The sequence below is a fragment of the Homo sapiens genome, chromosome 5 (genome assembly GCF_000001405.40).
Source record: "Homo sapiens chromosome 5, GRCh38.p14 Primary Assembly".
NCBI lineage: Eukaryota > Metazoa > Chordata > Mammalia > Primates > Hominidae > Homo > Homo sapiens.
Window position 1 is genome coordinate 113,488,724 of NC_000005.10, and position 20,692 is coordinate 113,509,415.

The 20,692-nt window shown below is 40.1% G+C and overlaps 1 pseudogene; it reads left to right on the forward strand.

Annotated features, from left to right (window-relative positions):
- Positions 5,112-5,237, forward strand: RNU4ATAC13P (RNA, U4atac small nuclear 13, pseudogene; annotated as a pseudogene).

Consider the following 20,692-nt stretch of genomic DNA (forward strand, 5'->3'; position numbering starts at 1 on the left):
GTCAGCATTGTGCATCCGGCAACGACGCGGGCCCGGGACACTTGGGGACGCTTCAGGCAGAGGGCAGGTGTACTCCCGGCAGACCTTCTCCGACCGCCCGGAGTCATGGCTTCCTTTTCCAGAGAAGCTATATAAACACTCTCCTTCTGCAAACTCAAAACGGTGCTTGTAATCCCACTCTCCAGGATTGTTCCGGGTTCTGTACCCATAGCCACCAATGAGAACCGGAATGACTGGCCTTTTTATGAAATTTTGACACCTGTCAAGAAACCTGGCCCTCGCAGCCCTCATCTTGGCTCCCACTCTGTACTGGGAAGAGTCTGCACGCTGTGTGGCATTGTGTACGTTGGGTCAATTTCTGGAAACGGCTCACTCTACTGGCCAGGCATCACTAGAATTTCCCCCAACAGCTTTAATAATGCCAAGAGCGAACATAATAGATGGTCTCATTTGATCCACACTACAGACCTGGAAGATGCCTCTTTTATTATCAATCCTACGACTTAGGAAGTATTAATAGATAAGTACCTCATAGAGTTATCTTACATATAAAAGGAGAGCAGACATAATGCAGTTAGGACAATGTCTGACACCTAGTAAGTGCTCAACAACTGTTAGCTCTCATTGTTCCCAATTTACAGGTAAGAAAACTGAGGTACCAAGACCTGCTCAAGGTTCCAGGTTTAGTAAGTGTTAGGGCAGAGGCAAGCCCGGGCAGCCTAACTCCAGAGCAGGAGCCTTTAAACACTGCACTATTCCCCCATAGCCAAAGGGAAACCACAGTGAAGCAATTTGTGGTTTCGTGAATGACTCATTATTCTGTCCTGGATTTTCTGCCAGAGAGGCGTGTGAAGTTCTCTGGTGGTTTTAAAATATGTCCACAGATTCTTTGGTGCACCCCTCATCAAGAGGTGGAGTCTGTTGCTTCCCCTAAACCTGGATTGGACTTGTGACTGCCTTGACTTCTGAGACTAGGTTAGAAAAGGCAATGCAGATTGCACTTGGCTCTCTCCCTTGGGACACTTACCTTTGAAGCCTTGAGCTGCCTGAAAAGAAGTTTGGCTACCCTGAAGCTGGAGAAACCATGCAGAAAGACCATGTAAAGAAAAAAGGAGATGACCAAAGAGCTACAGCTGTTCTAGCCCTGGATCTTAGAATCTTCCCAGACTAGGTGCCAGACATGAGTGAGAGATGATGCTAGCTCTAGATGCTGCAACTGCATTGGAGACCCTGAGCAAAACTGGCTAACCAACCCCCAGAGCTGTGAAGATAATAATTAAAAATTGTTGTTTTAAGCCATTAAGTTTTGAGGTGATTTGTTATGCAGCAATATATAACTGGAACAAGTCCATATGTCTTGGGAATGTCTGCTAGGTCAGAAGGAAGGAATCTCTGCTCTCTTTCTCCTCCTCTCCACCCCATCTACCTATTCCTACTTTACTTCTTTATTATTCTCTAAGTTCCCAGTATTTCAGGGCACTAAAATCATAGATTCATGAGTTAATGAGTTAATGGGTTATCATGGGAGTGGGACTAGTGACTTTATAAGAAGAGAAGGAGAGACCTGAGTTAGCAGGCTCAGCCCCCTTGCCATGTGATGCCCTGCACTGTTTTGGGACTCTGCACAGAGTCCCCACCAGCAGGGTGGCCCATTGACCTTGGACTTTTCATTCTCCAGAACTGTAAGAAATAAATTCATTTCTTTATAAATCACCCTAGTTTCAGGTAGTCTGTTCTAAGCAACAGAAAATTGACAAGACCAGAAATTAGTACCGGGAGTGGGGTGTTAACGAAAACGAATACCTGAAAATGGAGAAGCAGCTTTGAAACTGGATAATGAGCAGAGGCTACAAGAATGAAGCAGCAGTCTAGAAAAAGCCTAGGTTCTAGTGAGGGCTGAGAAGACAGGAAGAACAGGGAAAGTTTGGAACTCCTTAGAAATTGGTTAAATGGTCATAATCAGAATGCTGATGGAACTATGGACAGTAAAGGCCATTCTGACAAGGTCTCAGATGGAACTGAGGAACAAGGTACAAGAAAATGGAGTAAAGACCATCCTTGTTATAAATTGGCAAAGAACTTAGCTGAACTGTTCTATGCCTGAGGGCTTTCTGGAAGGCTGAACTTGAGAGAGAGAAACTGGGGTATCTGGCCAAAGAAATATCTAAGCAGTAAAGCATTCAGGCTGCAGCATGGCTACTTTTAACCACTTACATCAAGCTGTGAGAGGGGGAAAAAAACTTTAAAGGTGGAATTTACAATCATAAGAGAAGCAAAGTGGAAAGATTTGGAAAACTCTCAGCCTGGCCATGTGAAGAGTGAAAAGGTGTGTTTGGGAGAGGAAACCAAGGGTGTAGCCCAGCAACCTTTTGTTCCAGAGATTAGTAAAGGAAGAAAGTATCATTACGAGAAGGAAAGACCTCGATGGCATTTCAGAGAACTTTGAGTTGTTCCTCTCATCACAGACCCAGAGGCAGGAGGACAGAATGGTTTCAGGAGACAGACATGAGGCACCTTTCATGGGCTTGCTGCCAAGGTCTCTCTCAGGTCTTTACTTCCCAAATTCTGGTACAGTGCTTTTTGGACATGCCAGCTGTGGCTCAAGAAGCTTTAGGTGTGAATTGACCTGTCACTCAAGAAGATGAGAACCATAGGCCTTAATGGCATCCATATGATGCCATTATAATTCTTCAGGTTTGCAGAAAGCGAGAGCTGTGGAGATGTGGGGTCTCCACCTAGATGTCAAAGGATTTTTGCTGAAAGCCTGGGTCCAGGCAAAGGCTTGTAACAAGGGCAGAGCACTTCAGAGAGCTCCAACTAAGGCAATGTTAAGCAGAATTGTAGGGTCAGAGCTGCTGCAGAGAGTTTCCAACAGAGCAATGCCTAGTGGAGCTGTGGGAACAGGGCCACTACCAGAACCCCAGAACTGTGGAGTCACCAACAGCATGCAACATCTACTTGAGAAAGCTTCAGGCACCAGGCTCCAACCTGTATGGGCAGCTGTATGGGCTGTACCCAGCAAAGCCATAGACGTGGGGCTGTCTAAGGCCTTGTGGGCCCAACTGTTGCTCTAGTGTGTCCAAGAGGCAGCATGTGGAGTCAAAAAAGATTATTCGGCCGGGCGCGGTGGCTCACGCCTGTAATCCCAGCACTTTGGGAGGCCGAGGCGGGCGGATCACGAGGTCAGGAGATCGAGACCATCCCGGCTAAAACGGTGAAACCCCGTATCTACTAAAAATACAAAAAATTAGCCGGGCGTAGTGGCGGGCGCCTGTAGTCCCAGCTACTTGGGAGGCTGAGGCAGGAGAATGGCGTGAACCCGGGAGGCGGAGCTTGCAGTGAGCCGAGATCCCGCCACTGCACTCCAGCCTGGGCGACAGAGCGAGACTCCGTCTCAAAAAAAAAAAAAAAAAAAAAAAAAAAGATTATTCTCCAGCTTTAAGATGTAATGTCTGCCCTGCTAGGTTTTGGACTTTCTTGGGGCATGCTGCTTTATTCTTTTTGTTTATTCCTTCCTTTTGGAATGGGAATGTCTGTTTTATGCCTATACCATTATTGTATCTTGAAAGTGGATAATTTGCTTTGATTTCACAGGAAGATGAAATTCTGGACTTTGGACTTCTGAGTTGGTGCTGAAACAAGTTAAGACTTTGGGGCTATCAGAATGAAATAAATGTATTTGTATGTGAGAAGGACATAAGTTTGGGGGGGCAGGGACAGAATGCTATGGTTGAATGTTTGTACTCACTTGAAATTCACGTTGAAACAATCCCCAGTGTGGCAGTATTGAGAGGTAGTTGGATCATGAAAGCTCGTCCCTCATAAATAGACTAAATCATTCGTGGATTAATGGGTATCATGGGAATGAGACTGTTGGCTTTATGACAAAAGGAAGAGAGTCCTGAGCTAGCATACTCAGCCCCTTTGCCATGCGATGCCTTGTGCCGTCTTCAGCCTGCAGAGTTTCCACCAGCAAGAAGGCACTCACCAAATGTGTGTCCTCAACTTTGGACTTCCCAGCCTCCAGAACTACAATAAATAAATTTCATTTATTTGTATATTACCCCAGGTTCAGGTATTCTGTTATAAGCCACAGAAAACAGACTAAGACACTATCTACTACCCAATAATATTTTATTGAAAGTTGCTACCAACAGCACAAATATTCCTATCTACAAGAAAACAAGAACCAAAGCCCAAGAGTTTATATATATATTTAAATTTATATATGTATAAATTTTTTAATCCTAATTTTTCTAATTTTTATAGAATAAAACTTCTGTTGTTTGACAATACAGCCAGACAGGAGCTGTTACACTCAAATTTTTCTAGAGAAATGCCAGTTTAAGACTAAAAAAGAAATAAAAAAACATTTTTCTAAGTACAACATGTATGGAGGGTCTGGAAACCCAAAGGATTTTGCAAAATTTCAACACATCTCTCTATAACCACATTCCATGTATACAGAATGTGGACAGTAAAGCTCAACCAATTATATTTCAAAGCAAAGAATATTTTTTCTCCTTACCGAATGTGTACAACAGCTCTGGATGTTTAAATTTAAACACACAAAAAGTGGATCTTGACGAATTTCCTAAACATTTTTCTCATGCTTGGGTAACTCAGAAATGGCTGAACAGATAGGTTCCACATCCCAGGAAAGAATTTGCTTCTGAATTGATATGAAACATGTGAAATTTCAGCCTAAAGGGTTACAGGAGAGGGAGAAATTTGTAAGACATTGAAAATAGAGATGCCATATGAATATAAAGATGATAAATATAAAGAAGAAGTTATGAGTGAGAGCCACTCTCTCAAAGAGTGAGGGGTGTATACTCACTGCCATAAATCTAACAGTACTGGTCATAATTTCAAAGGTTTCATATATTTATCTGAGATGAGTACATAGCTCAACCTCTTTGTCCTTACTCAGCTTTTTTCTTCAATTTATGTGGTACATTTCAGAAAACACTGTACACATGACAAGATATCCTACCCCATATGTCTAAAATTACATGTTAAAATAAATAAAACAATTGCAGTGCTTTGAAAACTTGATAATCTGGTGCGTGTCCTTCCAAATTTGATTTACCTAAACTAGACTACATGCAACCATCCTTTTCTTGGGGTTGCAGTATGTCCAATGAGCGCATAGTGAAGGCAGTACTGCTAATGCCTACGCAACACACCCGCATCAACTAGAGGTTTGCTTTTACCTTGGTGCAATTTTTGGAAAAATGAAAACCCACTTTTCCATGTCAAAAAAAAAGGTAAAAAAAAAAGGCAGCCGGGCATGGTGGCTCATCCTGTAATCCCAGCACTTTGGGAGGCCGAGGCAGGCAAATCACCTGAGGTCAGGAGTTCAAGACCAGCCTGGCCAACTTGGTGAAACCCTGTCTCTACAAAAAATAGCTGGGCATGGTGGCAAGCGCCTGTAATCCCAGCTACTCGGGAGGCCGAGGCAGGAGAATAGGAGAATCATTTGAACCGGGATAGCCGAGATTGCGCCACTGCACTCCAGCCTGAGAGACAGTGCAAGACTCTGTCTCAAACAAACAAACAAAAACACTATAAGCAAGAGTTGGAGTGAGGACTCCATGGTGCCACTGGCTCACCATTTTCTCTAGGATGTTTTTAGCATCCCTGCTAAATTCCAATATTCCTTAAGAACCTTTTCTTCACCAATACAGGACACAGGTACCTTCCAGAGCTCTCTTAACTGAAGCATATATTGTGACAGAAGCAAACCATATAGTTTAACGGTGATTTGCCTCCCAACTCAATAATATCAACTATTATAAAAAGAAATTGCAAATTCCTAAGAGAAAATAGTGAGGTAGCGTTAAGAGAGCTTAACAAAGTTTTATTGGGTTCTTATCACAAATCAGTCATAGGGTTTAAAATTACACCTTACTTAATGCTTTCTAGTGGGGGTAGGTATTTATTATCTCTATTTATGGGTGGATGTTGGTGAGTGAGAGTAACTAAATTCCAAAGTTAAGTAATGTCCCTGTTTTAGTCTGTTTTGTGTTTCTGTAACAGAATACCACATATTGGGTAATTTATAAAGAAAAGAAACTTGTTTCTCACCATTCTGGAGGCTGTGAAGTCAAATATCAAGGTGCCAGCATCTTTCAAGACCTTTTTGCTGTGTCCTCCCATGGTGCAGAAGGTGAGAGCAAGAGAGGGTAAGAAGGTCAAATTCATCCTTTTATCAGGAACCCATTGCAGCATTTATCAGGAACCCATTGCAGCAATTATGGCATTAATCCATGCATAAGGGCTCTGCCCTCACGACCAAATCACTTCTTAAAAGTCCCCTCTCGACATTGTTGAATAGGGGATTAAGTTTCCAACACATGAACTTTGGGGGACACAAGTACAGAAGCTAGAACTGAACTTGTATCTACCAGTCAAAGCCATGTTCTTAACATTTACTTCATATTGTCTTAATATCAGATCCAGTGCTATTCACATTCATAGTCATATAGGCATTACAGTTTTTGATGAACAGTTTATAACTCCTTTTCATAAATATAAACTTTATATATTTATTGTATATTTATAGTTACAAGAGGGGGCTTCATGAGGTTCTATTATCTGTCACAAGTTGGGCTCTCTGGGAAGCAGACTCCAGTATGGGGTTCACATACAGGATGCTTACTAAGGAGTGCCCCAAACTGGGGAGAAGGGAGGTGAAGGAAGCAAGATGGGATGGAGATGGAGGGAGAAGCCATGCTGTGATGCAGGGCTGAGAGCAGCCTTGTCTGACCTCTAAAGTGGCCTTTATTACTTCCCTATTGCAGCTGTTAACAAATTAACACAACACAAATTTATTATCTTAACATGAAACATATTTATTATTGTACAGTTCTGGAGGGCGTAAATCAAAAATCAGTCTGAGTTAAACTGAAGGTGTTGGCAGGACCATGTTTTTTTCTGGAGATTGTGGCAGAGAATCACCTCTTTGCCTTTTCCAGCTGCTGGAGGCTGTTTGCCTTCTCTGACTCATGGTTCCTTCCTCCATCTTCAAAGCCAGCTGAATAGCATTTTTAAATCTCTCTCTGACTTGTTTCCCTTTTAAAATAACATTTTTAAATCTCTCTCTGACTTGATGCCCTTTTCTACCTCCCTCTGGATTATACTGGGCCCTCCTAGGTAATCCAGGATAACTTCTTTGTCTTAAATTCAGCTGATTAGCAACCATAATTCTATCAATAGCCTTAATTCTCCATTGCCACATAATATAATATACTCACAGGTTCCAGGGATCAGACTGTGGTTATATTTGGGAGAAGGTATTATTCTGCCTAACAATATCAGACTGTCCTTTACTGAAATGAAATGGCTCGGCTTATATACCTCTGCCTCAGTCACCCATTGAATATAGGACCCCATCCTACTGGATCCACGACCCAGGAAGGTTGTGACTGTGGGTAAGGTAACTGCAGCTGAGACAAAATCTGATAGACTGACAGCTGCAGGTTATCTTCTGAGAGCACTCCTAGCAGCTGGGCAACAAGTCCATTTTTTCTCTTAAATTAATTTGTTTATTTTACTTTTTTTATTTTTTATTTGTGGGTGGATAGTAGATATAGATTTATTTACTTATTTGTGAAGTGCATGACATATTTTGTTACAGGCATACAATATATAATAATCACATCAAGGTAAATGAGGTATCCATAACTTCAAGCATTTATCCTTTCTTTGTGCTACAAATGATCCAATTATGCTCTTTTAGTTACTTTTAAATATACAATAAATTATCACTGATTGTAGTCACCCTGTTATGCTATCACATACTAGATCATATTCATTTTATCTAACTATATTTTTGTACCCATTAATTATCCCCACTTACCCTACCCCCAACTATCCTTCCCAGCCTCTGGTAACCATCATTCTGCTCTCTATCTCCATGAATTAAATTGTTTTGATATTTAGCTCTCAAAAATACGTGAGAACACATGAAGTTTGTCTTTCTGTGCCTGGCATCTTTCACTTAACATCATGTTGTTAATTCATGTTCCGTCCATATTATTGCATATGACAGGATCTCATTCTATTTTATGGCTAAATAGCACTCTACTGTGTATATGGACCACATTTTCTTTATCCATTTATCTGTTGATGGACACTTAGATTGCTTCCAAATCTTGGCTATTGTGACTAGTGCCATAGTAAGCATGGGAGTGCAGATATCTCTTTGATATACTGATTTCCTTTCTTTTGGGTATGTACCCAGCAGTGGGATTGCTGGAACATATGGTAGTTCTATTTTTATTGATTTTAGGAACTTCCAAGCTGTTCTCCATTGTAGTTTTACTAATTTACATTCCCACCAAAAGTGTATGACGGTTCCCTTTTCTCTATATTCTCACCAGCATTCATTATTGCCTGTCTTTTGAATAGAAGCCATTTAACTGTGGTGAGATGATATCTCATTGTAGTTTTCATTTGCATTTCTCTGATGATCAGTGATGTTAAGCACCTTTTAATATACCTGTTTGCCATTTGTATGTCTTCTTTTGTAAGATATCTATTCACACCTTTGGCTATTTTTAAATAGGATCATTAGTTTTTTTCCCTATTGAGTTGTTTGAGCTCCTTATATATTCTGGTTATTAACCTCTTGTCAGATGGCTAGTTTGCATATTTTCTCCCATTCTGTGGATTGTCTTTACCCTTTGTTGATTGTTTCCTTTGCCACGCAGAAGTCTTTTAATTTGATATGATCCCATTTGTCCATTTTTGCTCTGGTTGCCTGTGCTTGTGGGGTATTACTCAATAAATCTTTGCCCAGATCAATGTCTTCGAGAGTTTCCCAACATTTTCTTTTAGGAGTTTCATAGTTGGAGGTCTTAGATTTAAGTCTGTAAGCCATTTTGATTTGATTTTTGTATATGGTAAAACATAAGGGTCTAGTTTCATTCTTCTGCATATGGATATCCAGTTTTCCCAGCACAATTTATTGAAGAGACTGTCTTTTCCCCAAAGTATATTCTTGGCATCTTTGTCGAAACTGAGTTCACTGTAGATGTATGGATTTATTTCTCACTTCTCGATTCTGTTCCACTGATCTACATGTCTCTTTTTATATTAGTACCATGCTATTTGGTTACTACAGCTCTGTAGTATACTTTGAAGTCAGGTAATGTAATTCATCCAGTTTTGTTCCTTTTGCCCAGGATAGCTTTGGCTATTCTGGATCTTTTATGGTTCCATATATATTTTAGGATTGTTTTTTCTATTTCTGTGAAGAATGCCATTGGTATTGTGATAGGGATTGCATTGAATCTGTAGATTGTTTTGGGTAGTATGGACATTTTAACAACATTGATTATTCCAATCCATGAACATGAAATATCTTTCCATTTTTGGTGCCGTCTTCAATTTCTTTTTTCAATGTTTTATAGTTTTCATTGTAGAGATTCTTCACTTCTTTGGTTACGTTTATTCCTAGGTATTTTATTTGTAGTTATTGTATATAGGATTACTTTTAAAATTTATTTTTCAGATCGTTCATTGTTGGCATATAGAAATGCTATTGATTTTTGTATGTTGATTTTGTATCCTGCAACTTTACTGAATTTTTTTCATCAGTTCTAATAGGTTTTTGTGGAGCCTTTAGGCTTTTCCAAATACAAGATTATATTATCTGCAAACAAGGATAATTTGACTTCTTCCTTTCCAATTTGGATGCCCTTTATTTCTTTCTCTTGTCTGATTCCTCTAGCTAGGACTTCTAGGACTGTGTTGAATAACAGTGGTGACAGTGGGCATACTTGTTTTGTTCCAGATCTTACAGGAAGGGCTTTCAGTATTCTCCATTCAGTGTGATATTAGCTGTGGGTCTGTTGTATACGGCTTTTCTTATGTTGAAGTATGTTCCTTCTATTCTGTTTTTCAAGGTTTTTTTTTTATCATAAAAGGATGTTGAATTTTATCAAATGCTTTTTCATCATCAGTTGAAATGATCACATGGTTTTTGTCCTTCATTCTGTTGATATGATGTACTACATTGATTGACTTGCAAATGTTCAACCATCCTTGCATCTTGGGATAAATACTGCTTGGTCATGATGAATGAACTTTTTGATGTGTTGCTGAATTTAATATGCTAGTATTTTGTTCAGGATTTTTGCATCAATGTTCATCAGGGATATTGGCCTGCAGTTTTCCTTTTTTGATGTCTTTGTCTGGTTTTGGTATCAGAGTAATACTGGCTTTGTAGAATGAGTTTGGAAGTATTCCCTCCTCTTTCTTTTTTCAGAATAGTTTGTGTAGGATTGGTATTAGTTCTTTAAATGTTTGGTACAATTCTGCTCTGAACCCATTGGGTCCTGGGCTTTTCTTTAATGATAGACTTTTTATTATGGCTTAAATGTTATTACCTGTTGGTTATTGGTTTGCTTAGGTTTGCAGTTTCTTCATGGTTGAATCTTAGCAGTTGCATGTGTCTAGGAATTTATCCATTTCTCCTACATTTTCCAATTTTTTCGCATATAGTTGTTCATGGTAGCCTCTAATGAGCCTTTGAATTTCTGCAGTGTTGGTAATAATCTCTGATTTTATTTATTTGAGTCTTCTCTCTTTTTCTTAGTCTGGCTAAAGGTTTGTTGATGTTGTTTATCTTTTCAAAAAACCAACTTTTTGTTTGTTGATCTTTTGTATTTTTTTTGTTTCAGTTTCATGTATTTCTGCTCTGATCTTTATGATTTATTTTCTTCTACTAAGTTAGGGTTTTATTTACTCTTGCTTTTCTAGCTCTTTAAGATATATTGTTAGGTTGTTTATTTGAAGTTTTTCCAGTTTTTTGATGTAGGTGCTTATTGCTATATACTTTCCTCTTAGTACCACTTTCCCTGTATCCCACAGGTTTTGGTATGCTGTGTTTCCATTTACATTTGTTTCAAGAAATTTTAAAAATGTCCTTCTTAAATTATTCACTGACCCACTGATCATTCAAGAGCATATTGTTTGATTTCCAATCATTTGTATAGTTTCCAAAATTCCTCTTGTTATTGATTTCTGGTTTTATTCCATTGTGGTCAGAGAAGATATTTGATATAATTTAATATCCATGAATTTTTAAAGACTACTTTTGTGGCCTAACATATAGTCTATCCATGAGAATGATTCCTGGGGTGAGGAGAAGGATGTATATTCTGCAGCCATTAGATGAAATGTTCTCTAAATATCTATTAGGTCCATTTGGTCTATACTGCAGATTAAGTCCAATGCTTCTTTGTTGATTTTCTGTCTAGATGATCTGTCCAATCCTAAAAGTGGGGTGTTGAAGTCTCTAGCTATTATGGTATTTGGGTCTCTCTCTCCCTCTCTCACACACACACTCTCTCTCTCAAGCTCTAATAGTATTTGCTTTATCTATCTGGGTGCTCCAGTATTGGGTGTACATATATTTACAATTGTTGTATCCTCTTGCTGAATTGGCCCCCTTGTCATAATATAATGACCTTCTTTGTGTTCTTACAGTTTTTGTCTTGAAATCTATTTTGCCTTATATAAGTATAGCTACTTCTGCTTTTTTTGTTTGTTTGTTTCCATTGGCATGAAATATCTTTTCTATCCATTTATTCTCAGTCTATGGGTGTCTTTATAAGTGAAGTGTGTTTCCTGTAGGCAACAGATCATTGGATCTTCTTTTTTTTTTATCCATTTGGCCACTCTATGTCTTTTGAATGGAAGGTTTAGTCCATTTATATTCAATGTTATTATTGATATGTAAGGACTTACTCCTGCCATTTCATTATTTGTTTTCTGGTTGATTTTGGTCTTGTCTAGCTTCTTTCTTTCCTCTCTATCTTCCTTTTAGTGCACGTGATTTTCTCTGGTGGTATATTTTAATTTCTTGCTTTTACTTTTTGTATATCTGCTGTATGTCTTTCAGTTTAAGGTTACCATAAGGCTTGCAAATAATATCTTATAACCCATTATTTTAAACTGTTGACAACTTTGACTGCATAAACAAACTTACAAATAAGCAAAGCAAAAACTAATAAAAACTCTATACTTTAATCCCCTGCTTTTTAACTTTTTTGCTGCTTCTATTTATATCTTGTTATACTGTCTGTGCCTTAAAAAGTCATAGTTATTATTTCTGATAGGTTCATCTTTTAGTCTTTCTACTCAAAACATGAGTACTTTACACACTACAATTACAGTGTTTTAATATTCTGTTTTTCTGTGTACTTACTATTACCAGTGAGTTTTGTAATACTTCAGATGATTTCTCATTGTTCATTAATATCCTTTTCTTTCAGATTGAAGAACTCCCTTTACCGTTTCTTCTAGGACATGTTTTGTGTTTTAATGAAATCCCTCAGCTTCTGTTTGTCTCAGAGAGTCTTTATTTCTCCTTCATGTTTTACTGGATATACTATTGTAGGACAACAATTTTTATCCTTCAGCAGTCATGTCACTCTCTCCTGGCCTGTAAGGTGTCCACTGAGAAGTCTGTTGCCAGACATATTGGACTCCATTGTATGTTATTTGTTTCTTTTCTCTTGCTGCTTTTAGGATCCTTTCTTTATCCTTAACCTTTGGGAGTTTAATTATTAAATGCCTTCAGGTAGTCTTCTTTGGGTTAAATCGGCTAGATGTTCTACAACATTCTTGTATTTGAATGTTAATATCTTTCTCTAGGTTTGGGAAATTCACTGTTATTATCCTTGTGAATAAACTCGTTACCCCAATATCTCTCTCTCTCTTTCTATACCTTCTCTTTAAGGCCAATAACTTTTAGATTTTCCCTTTTGAGGCTATTTTCTATATCCTGTAAATGTTCTCCATCATTTCTTATTCTTTTTTATTTTGTCTCCTTGGACTGTGTATCTTCAAATAGTTCTGTCTTCAAGCTCACTAATTTTTTCTTCTACTTGATCAATTTTGCTAGTAAGAGACTCTGATATAGTCTTCAGTATGTCAATTGCTTTTTTCAACTCCAGAATGTCTGCTTGTTTTTAATTATCTTAATCTCTTTGTTAACTTATCGGATAGGATTCTGAATTCCTTCTCTGTGTTACCTTGTATTTTGCTGAGCTTCCTCAAAACAGCTATTGTGAATTCTCTTTTTGAAAGGTCACATATCCCTGTCTCTCTGGGACTGGTCCTTGGTGCCTTATTTAGTTAATTTCGTGAGGTTATGTTTTCCTGCATGATGCTTGTGGATGTTCATCAGTATCTGAGAATGAAGAGTTAGGCATTTATTGTAGTCTTCAGAGTCTGGGCTGGTTTATACCTGTTCTTGGGAAGGCTTTCCAAGTATTCAAAGGGATTTTGGTGTTGTTATCTAAGTCTTTCGTCACTGCAGCCATATTTGCATTAGGATGCACCCCAGTGCTCAGTAGCACTGTGACTCTTGCAGACTCACAGCAGACTCACAGAGGTACTGCCTTGGTGGTCTTGGGTAAGATCCAGGAGAATTCTTGGATTACCAGGCAGAGAGTCTTGTTTTCTTCCTTTAATTTCCCCCAAACAAATAAGAGTCTGTCTCTGTGCTGAGCTGTCTGGAGCTGAGGGAGAGGTGACACAAGCACCACTGCGGCCACAACCACTGGGACTGCACTGGGTCAGACCCACAGCACAGGGTCTCACCCAAGGCCCGCAGGGACCATTGCCTGGCTACCACACATGTTCACTCAAGGCCCAAGGGCTCTACAGTCAGTAGGCGGCAAATACAGCTAGGCTTGTGTCCTTCAGTGCAGCAAGTTCCACTCAGCCCCAGGTGGGTCCAGAGATGCCATCTGTGAACCAGGGCCTGGAACCAGGAACCTTAGGAATCTACCTGGTGCTCTATTCTACTGTAGCTGAGCTGGCACCCAGGTCATAAGACAAAGTCCTTCCTACTCTTCCCTCCCCTTTCCTCAAGCAGAGGAGTCTCTCCCCATGGCCACCACCACCCAGGCCCATAAGGAGTACTGCCTGGCTACCACAAGTTTTCATTCACGGCCCAAGGGCTCTTGAGTTAGCTTGTGATAAATGCTGCCAGGCCTAGGTGTCTCCCTTCAGGGAAGTGGCTTCCCTCTGGCCCAGGGCACATCCAAAAAATCCTGTCCAAGAGTCAAGACTTGGAATCAGGGACCCTGGGTATCTGCTTGCTGTATGCCACTATGGCTGAGCTGGTACCCAAGCTATATGACAAGGTCCTCTTATTATTCCCATTCCTTTCCTCAGACAAAAGGAGTCTCTCCTTTAGCTACCACAGCTGGGAAGGTGCTGGGTCACACCTGAAGCCAGCATGGTTCTGAGTCTCACCTAAGGCCCATGGCAAGTACAACCTGGCCACTACTGCTGATTTAGTCAGCCGGTGTTGAATCCTGCCAGGACTGGTAACTTCCCTTCAAGGCAGCAGGTCCCTTCTGTCCCAGGGTATATCTAGAAATGTCATCCAGGAGCTAGGGGGCCTCACAACTCTGCCTGGTGCTCTACCCTACTGTGGCTGAGCTAGTGTTGAGGTTGCAAGACAAGGTCTTCTTTACTGTTCCCTCTCCTCTCCCCAAGAAGGAGTCTCTCTTGAAGCTGTGAGCTGTGCCTCCTAAGGTTGGGGAGGGGTGATGCAAGCACTCCCTTGGTCATCCCAACTGTCTCACTAGGTCATGTATAACCCAAGTCCACTGGCTGTGAGCCCAGGTCAGCACCAAGATCTGCCCAGGAATTGCCATCCTTGTGGCTTATGTTGCCTTTCAAATTTATTTAGGGCCCCAGAGCTTTAGCCTGCAGTGATGGGGCTAGCTGGAACTCAGGTTCCAACTGCCGGAAGGGGTGATTCCCCCTGGCTAGGGTTGATCTAAATGCTCCCTCCAAGTATGCTAGCTGAGTTCTGCCCCATGTTTCCACAAAAAATAGGCATTCCCGTGACAAGGCAGCACTGAGTTCCGAAAGAAAGTCCCACTATCACTGCACTCTCCCTTCTCCAAATACACAGATTCTCTCTCCACACCAAATAGCTGCTGCCATGCAATGAGGGAGGGGTGGTGTAAGGGATTCAAGACTGTCTTTCTTTTCCTCTTAACAGTGCATGTTTCCTTAATATGATGTTAAAATCAGTTACTGCAATTACTCATCTGATTTTTGGTTCTTATGAAGTTACTTTTTTTGTGTAGGTAGTTGTTCAATTTGATGTTTCTGTGGAGGTGACAATTGCTAAAGGCTTCTAATCAGCCATCATGCTCTACCTACCCCAAAAAGTCCATTCTTGAAGGGAGAACTTGGTGGTGCACCTTAATGTTCATCACAGTTCATCTTGAGCTATTTGAATCCACTTCTTTGTGTATGTCTGGGAAGCAGCTCCTCTGTGATTCCAGTGGGCCTCTCTTTCTGGGGCACTCTTTTATTTTCATTTTTTTCTTTTCTTTTTAAATAGAGACAGGGTCTTGCTATGTTGCCCAGATTGGTCTCGAACTCCTGGGCTCAAGTGACCCTTCCACTTCAGCCTCTCAAAGTGCTGAGATTACAGGTGTGAGCCACTGCTCCTGGCCTCAGGGGCACTCTTAGAAGAGGAAGTTTATTGGGAAAAATAACAATCTCCATCACTGCTGTAGGTCTTAGGGCCCCAACTGATACTCATTGTTTCCCTCTTCCACTTGTAAAATGGGGGTAGTAGTATCACTTATTTCATAGAGGTATTACTAAATTCCAGGAAATAATGCAAAGCACACTGGACCACTGGGAAGAGCCCAGTGAAACATAGCCATTATAATTTTTAGTATTATAAAACTGGATAAGGCTGTACATCATGATATTTTTAAGACATTTATTGCTGGATATCAGATAACATCAGATCCTCCTTTTTAAATGTTTTCTATTTCTCTTTCTGGGTTCAGATATAGGAAGTTAGCCATACAGGGTTTAGATTCAAATCTCTGGAGAGGGGGCCTGGTATTTTCTTTGCGTACACAGCACCTCTTATTTTTAATGTGCTTGCATTTCTTCTTGGAACTAAAGGATGTGGCAAACACAATAGGGACTACATGAAGCAGGCTGAGTGTGTGCGGGGACATGCATCATCATCACTCTCTCAGTACCTCACATGATGATAGGCTTTCCAGCCACCTCTACCCTAGCTCTAGTAGGTGGGGCTGGCTATAAAGAGGAGTCTTATGCCTGTCAGGTGTTATATGTTGGTTGACTTTACATAATCCCTAGCTAAATATCATCTCTTGTAATGAACATAGGTATCTTGGATTTAAACTGAGCAACCATACTTTGTGAAGGATCAAACGGGTTTCTAATGAAGGAAACAGTGAGGCCAAGAACTCCAGAGAAAAGAGCTCCTTTCCAGCATCTTATGCCAAATCTTTAGGGCAGTGGTTTTCAGACTGCAGTTTGCAACCCATCAGTGAGTTGCAAAATTATTTTAGTAAGTGGTAGCCAGGCCTTTAAAAACATGAACTAGAGAAGAAAAATAAAACATGAACTAGAGAAACAGAAAATATCTGCATATATTTAACTTAGTACAATACTCCTTCCTTATCTGCAGTTTTGCTTTCCATGGTCAGCCATGGTCCACAAATCTTAAATGGAAAATTACAGAAATAAACAATTCGTAAGTTTTAAATTGTGCACAGTTCTGATGATGAAATCTTGCACTGCCCTGCTCTGTCCTGCCTGAGAAGTGAATCCTCCCTTTGTCAGGGTATCCACATTGTATACACTACTCACCCATTAGTCACTTAGCCGTCTAGGTTATCAGATCGACTGTCATGGTATCACAGTGCTTGTGTTCAAGCAATCCTTATTTTATTTAATAATGGCCCCAAAGTGCAAGAATAGGGATGCTGGCAATTTGGATATGCCAAAGTGAAGCGGTAAAGTGCTTCGTTTAAGTGAAAAGGTAAAAGTTCTCAATTTAGGGAATGAAAACAAAAATCATATGCTGAGGTTGCAAAGATCTACAGTAAAAATGAATCTTCTATTCATGAAATTGTGAATAGTATACTGTTATTGTTGTTTTATTTTATTACTAGTTATTGCTGTTAATCTTTTACTGTGTCTGATTTATAAATTAAACTTTATCATAGGTATGTATTTATAGAAAAAGCAAAATGTATATGGGTTCAATACTATCCTCAGTCTTAGGCATCCACTGGGGCTCTTGGAATGTTATCCTCACAGGACTTGCAGTGTCACATATTGTTTCATAAAACCTTTTCATTTATGCATGTATTTTTTCTGGACACAATAAAAACAGTGTATATCTGGTTGTGTATCTGTCTAACACGCACTGCTCTAGGGGAAAGATACTTATAGCAAGAACAATCACCTTGACACTCTTAGCTCAGAAGCTTTATTTTTCTTTCCTTACTTTTGATCAGGAATGACTTGCCCTTATTTCTCTCTATTTCATTCACCTTCTATTCAGTATACTTGGGGTGATTGGGAAGGAATCCATTTTATTTCTGTACCTCCCATTCTCTTTCTTATTTCCAGGGTGTTCTCCTGGTGGACCAAGAAGGCTAACCTGCTTCATTTATCTCCTCTACCAGGCAAAGCAGTCAGAGTGAGTTAGGCTGCTGAGTTCTGGGAGGGGATTGGAGCAGGGTTTTTATCTTAGATGGGTGGAGCCAGTGAATAAACTATTGGAAATCTCATTTGGATTCTCAAATCTAAGAAGTCAGGTAGACATCTGGAGTCAATGTGCAGAGGCAAACAGTGTCAGAGACAAATGTGGCTTGATCTTCCAGTGCTGAGATGGGATGAGGGGAGGCACAAGGGAAGAATTTCTCAAGTGAGGAACACCCCCAAGAATGCCTCGTGATTTGAAAATGAGAACAGCTGAAAAGTTGTAAGTTATTTCATTATCTACTGACTTATATATATTTTAAGTATACCCAAAAGGAGACAATAGGAGTGTGGGCTACACAGGGTATCCAGTTCTGAATTGTATAGCTAACAATTGTGCATTTCAATGTATATACATTTTACTTTAAAATGATAATAATTGAGTAAGGGTGGGAAGCATGTGGAGGTACACCTGGGTCAAGGATGGCAGACTGTTGAGGCTAGATGATGGGTACATGGAGATTCATTATCCTCTTTTTTTTTTTTTTTTTTTTGAGACAGAGTCTTGCTTTGCTACCCAGGCTGGAATGTAGTGGCACGATCTCGGCTCACTGCAACCTCCACCGCCCGAGTTCAAGTGATTCTCCTGCCTCAGCCTCGCGAGTAGCTGGGATTACAGGCATGAGCCACCATGGCCGACAAATTATTGTATTTTTAGTAGAGACAGGGTTTCACCATGTTGGCCAGGCTGGTCTTGAACTCCTGACCTCAGATGATCCACCCACCTCAGTGTCCCAAAGTGCTGGGATTACAGGCATGAGCCACCGCACCCGGCCACTATTCTCTTTACTTGAGATTGGAAATTTTCCAAAGTGCAAACTTGAAGAAAAGTCTCAAAATAGCTTTAATGCTCTTCCTTGTTATTAATCCAACCATGGACTGATAGTACCTTTTTTCCCATAATCTCAGACCAACATGGAAGCAATAAATGAGCTACACTGTTTCCACATTCTTGGCTCCTCTCAGCAGCCAAGTCCTGAAGTTGCAAGAACCATGATCTCCACACTGGGCAATCAGAAGGGATCCAAGAGATAGATACAGCGGCTTTGTATCTTAAGTATTTATTAAATCTAGCATTTGTCCATTGACCCCATAAATCTCTCTAATGTCAGGGACCTTCTCAAGAGTCTGCAAAGGTAAGAGACTGGTGCTTGTTTTATCAGTTGTGTGTTGATCGTTATGGAGACAATAAGATTGAACCTACCTAGAGGTTGCCTACATTTGTGAATTAATACAAAAGGTAGGGTGGTAACAGTTGGCAATTCAGTATATGTGACTTATTTGAAAAGGAAGCCACAAACCAATTTTTGAGACCCAACACAGCATGAAATGTGCAAAAGTGGTTGCCTAAGTCTCATAAATTAAAGAGTTGCTGGTGAGGAAGTGGCTTGCTTGACCACCTCTTTGCTAACTGGTCTAGACTGAGGGTGTGCTGCCAGAAGCTGATCTTGATATCTAATGATATGGGGCAGAACTGGAGCAATGATGTGAAATAGTGTCATAAAAAGTATTCTAGTCTTTGATCTTCATGTAACTATACAGTATTGGGCAATACACCCAGCCAAGGTATACTTTCACTTCCTCATTTGTAAAGTGATCCAGTTGAATTTCAAAGATTCCTTCTATTTCTAAAATTCTATCATTTATTTGCCATAGTTAAAATTTCACTTGCTCATTACTTTGGAGAATAAGCAATAAGTCAAAACTATCCTCTGCTCATGTGCTACCTAAGTCTTGACAAGGATTAGTCTCACAAACAGAGAGTAGTGGCCACTTCCATGCAGTGATTCAGGTCATAATGAGATGGAATCCCATTTGCAAACTCCTCACTAGCTATAGCATTTCCAGAAATTACATTACAAGAGCTTTATTTCTTTGCATTTTGGAGGTTCCTCTTTAAGACTCCTGTGTTAAAGTGGAAATGTCCCTGGAAGACTACTCAGTCCTTAGTATTGACTGAAAACTTTGTGGGAACAGTCTGTTAAATAGGTCTTATGGGCCAGAGGAGAGGAAGGGGCTGAAGAAGAGTGTGGAGGCATCAATGTGACTCCAGTGCACCTCTTGGGGCCCCATTACCCTGTGTGATGGACCAGTCATTACAGGGAAGGGAAGATGATGGGATTAAGTTTGGGGAATAGATTGGGGAGACTTGAGTCAGGTGGTGTCCACATGCATCTTAGCACATAACTCTGAAGTCCCTGACATCTCTGTTATGAATGTTTGTGTCCCCACCCCCCTAATTCATATATTAAAGACCTAACCTCCAATGTGAAGGTACTTGAGCATGGGAAGGTAATTAGTGCTAGTTGAGAGACTCAAGTTGAGACACTTGAGTGTGCGGGACACTCAAGACAGGATTGGTGCCCTTTTAAGAGAAGACATGAGAGAGTAAGCTGTCTGAGTGCAAGCACTAAGAAAAGGCCATGTAAGCACACAGCAAGTGGGCAGCCATCTGCAAGCCAGGAAAAGGGCTCTCTATAGAAAATGAACTTTCCCAGACTTTGGTCTTGGACTTTTCAGCCCTCAGAACTGCTGAAAATAAATTTCTGTTGTTTTAAGCCACCCAGTCTATGGTATTTTGTCATGGCAGCCTGAGGTGACTAATATAATCTTCTTTTAATCATGTGGTCTCTTTCCTTTTCAGTGTTAGTTGTGAGTCAATTTGCCAAATTAAACATGAAAGAAATGTCCCCAAAACATCTGCCAAGGGAGTATTCCTGAACAGTATTCCTCCCTGACCAAATGCCAGTCTGGTTTTTCTTTGTTGCTGTTGCTGGAGTTGACTACTTTTGGATGATCCAATCAAACCAGGTAGTTGCATGTCCTGAAAGAACACTTCTTTCTTAACCTATCCCAAATGCGTAAGTAGGTTTACTAACTTGATACAGTTTGGGGCTAGAAAGACTCTTAACGATTTTTTTAAAAAATTGTCAACATTTTCAAACATACCCCAAAGTAAAAAGAATAGTATAAAGAAGACCAGTATAACCATCACAACAATTCAGTGATTACCACAATTTTGCTTGTGAATATTTTGAAGAAAAATATCAGTAAGAAATAAAGTACTATATTTACGAAATACTAAGTGTGCCCTGGGGAAAATAAA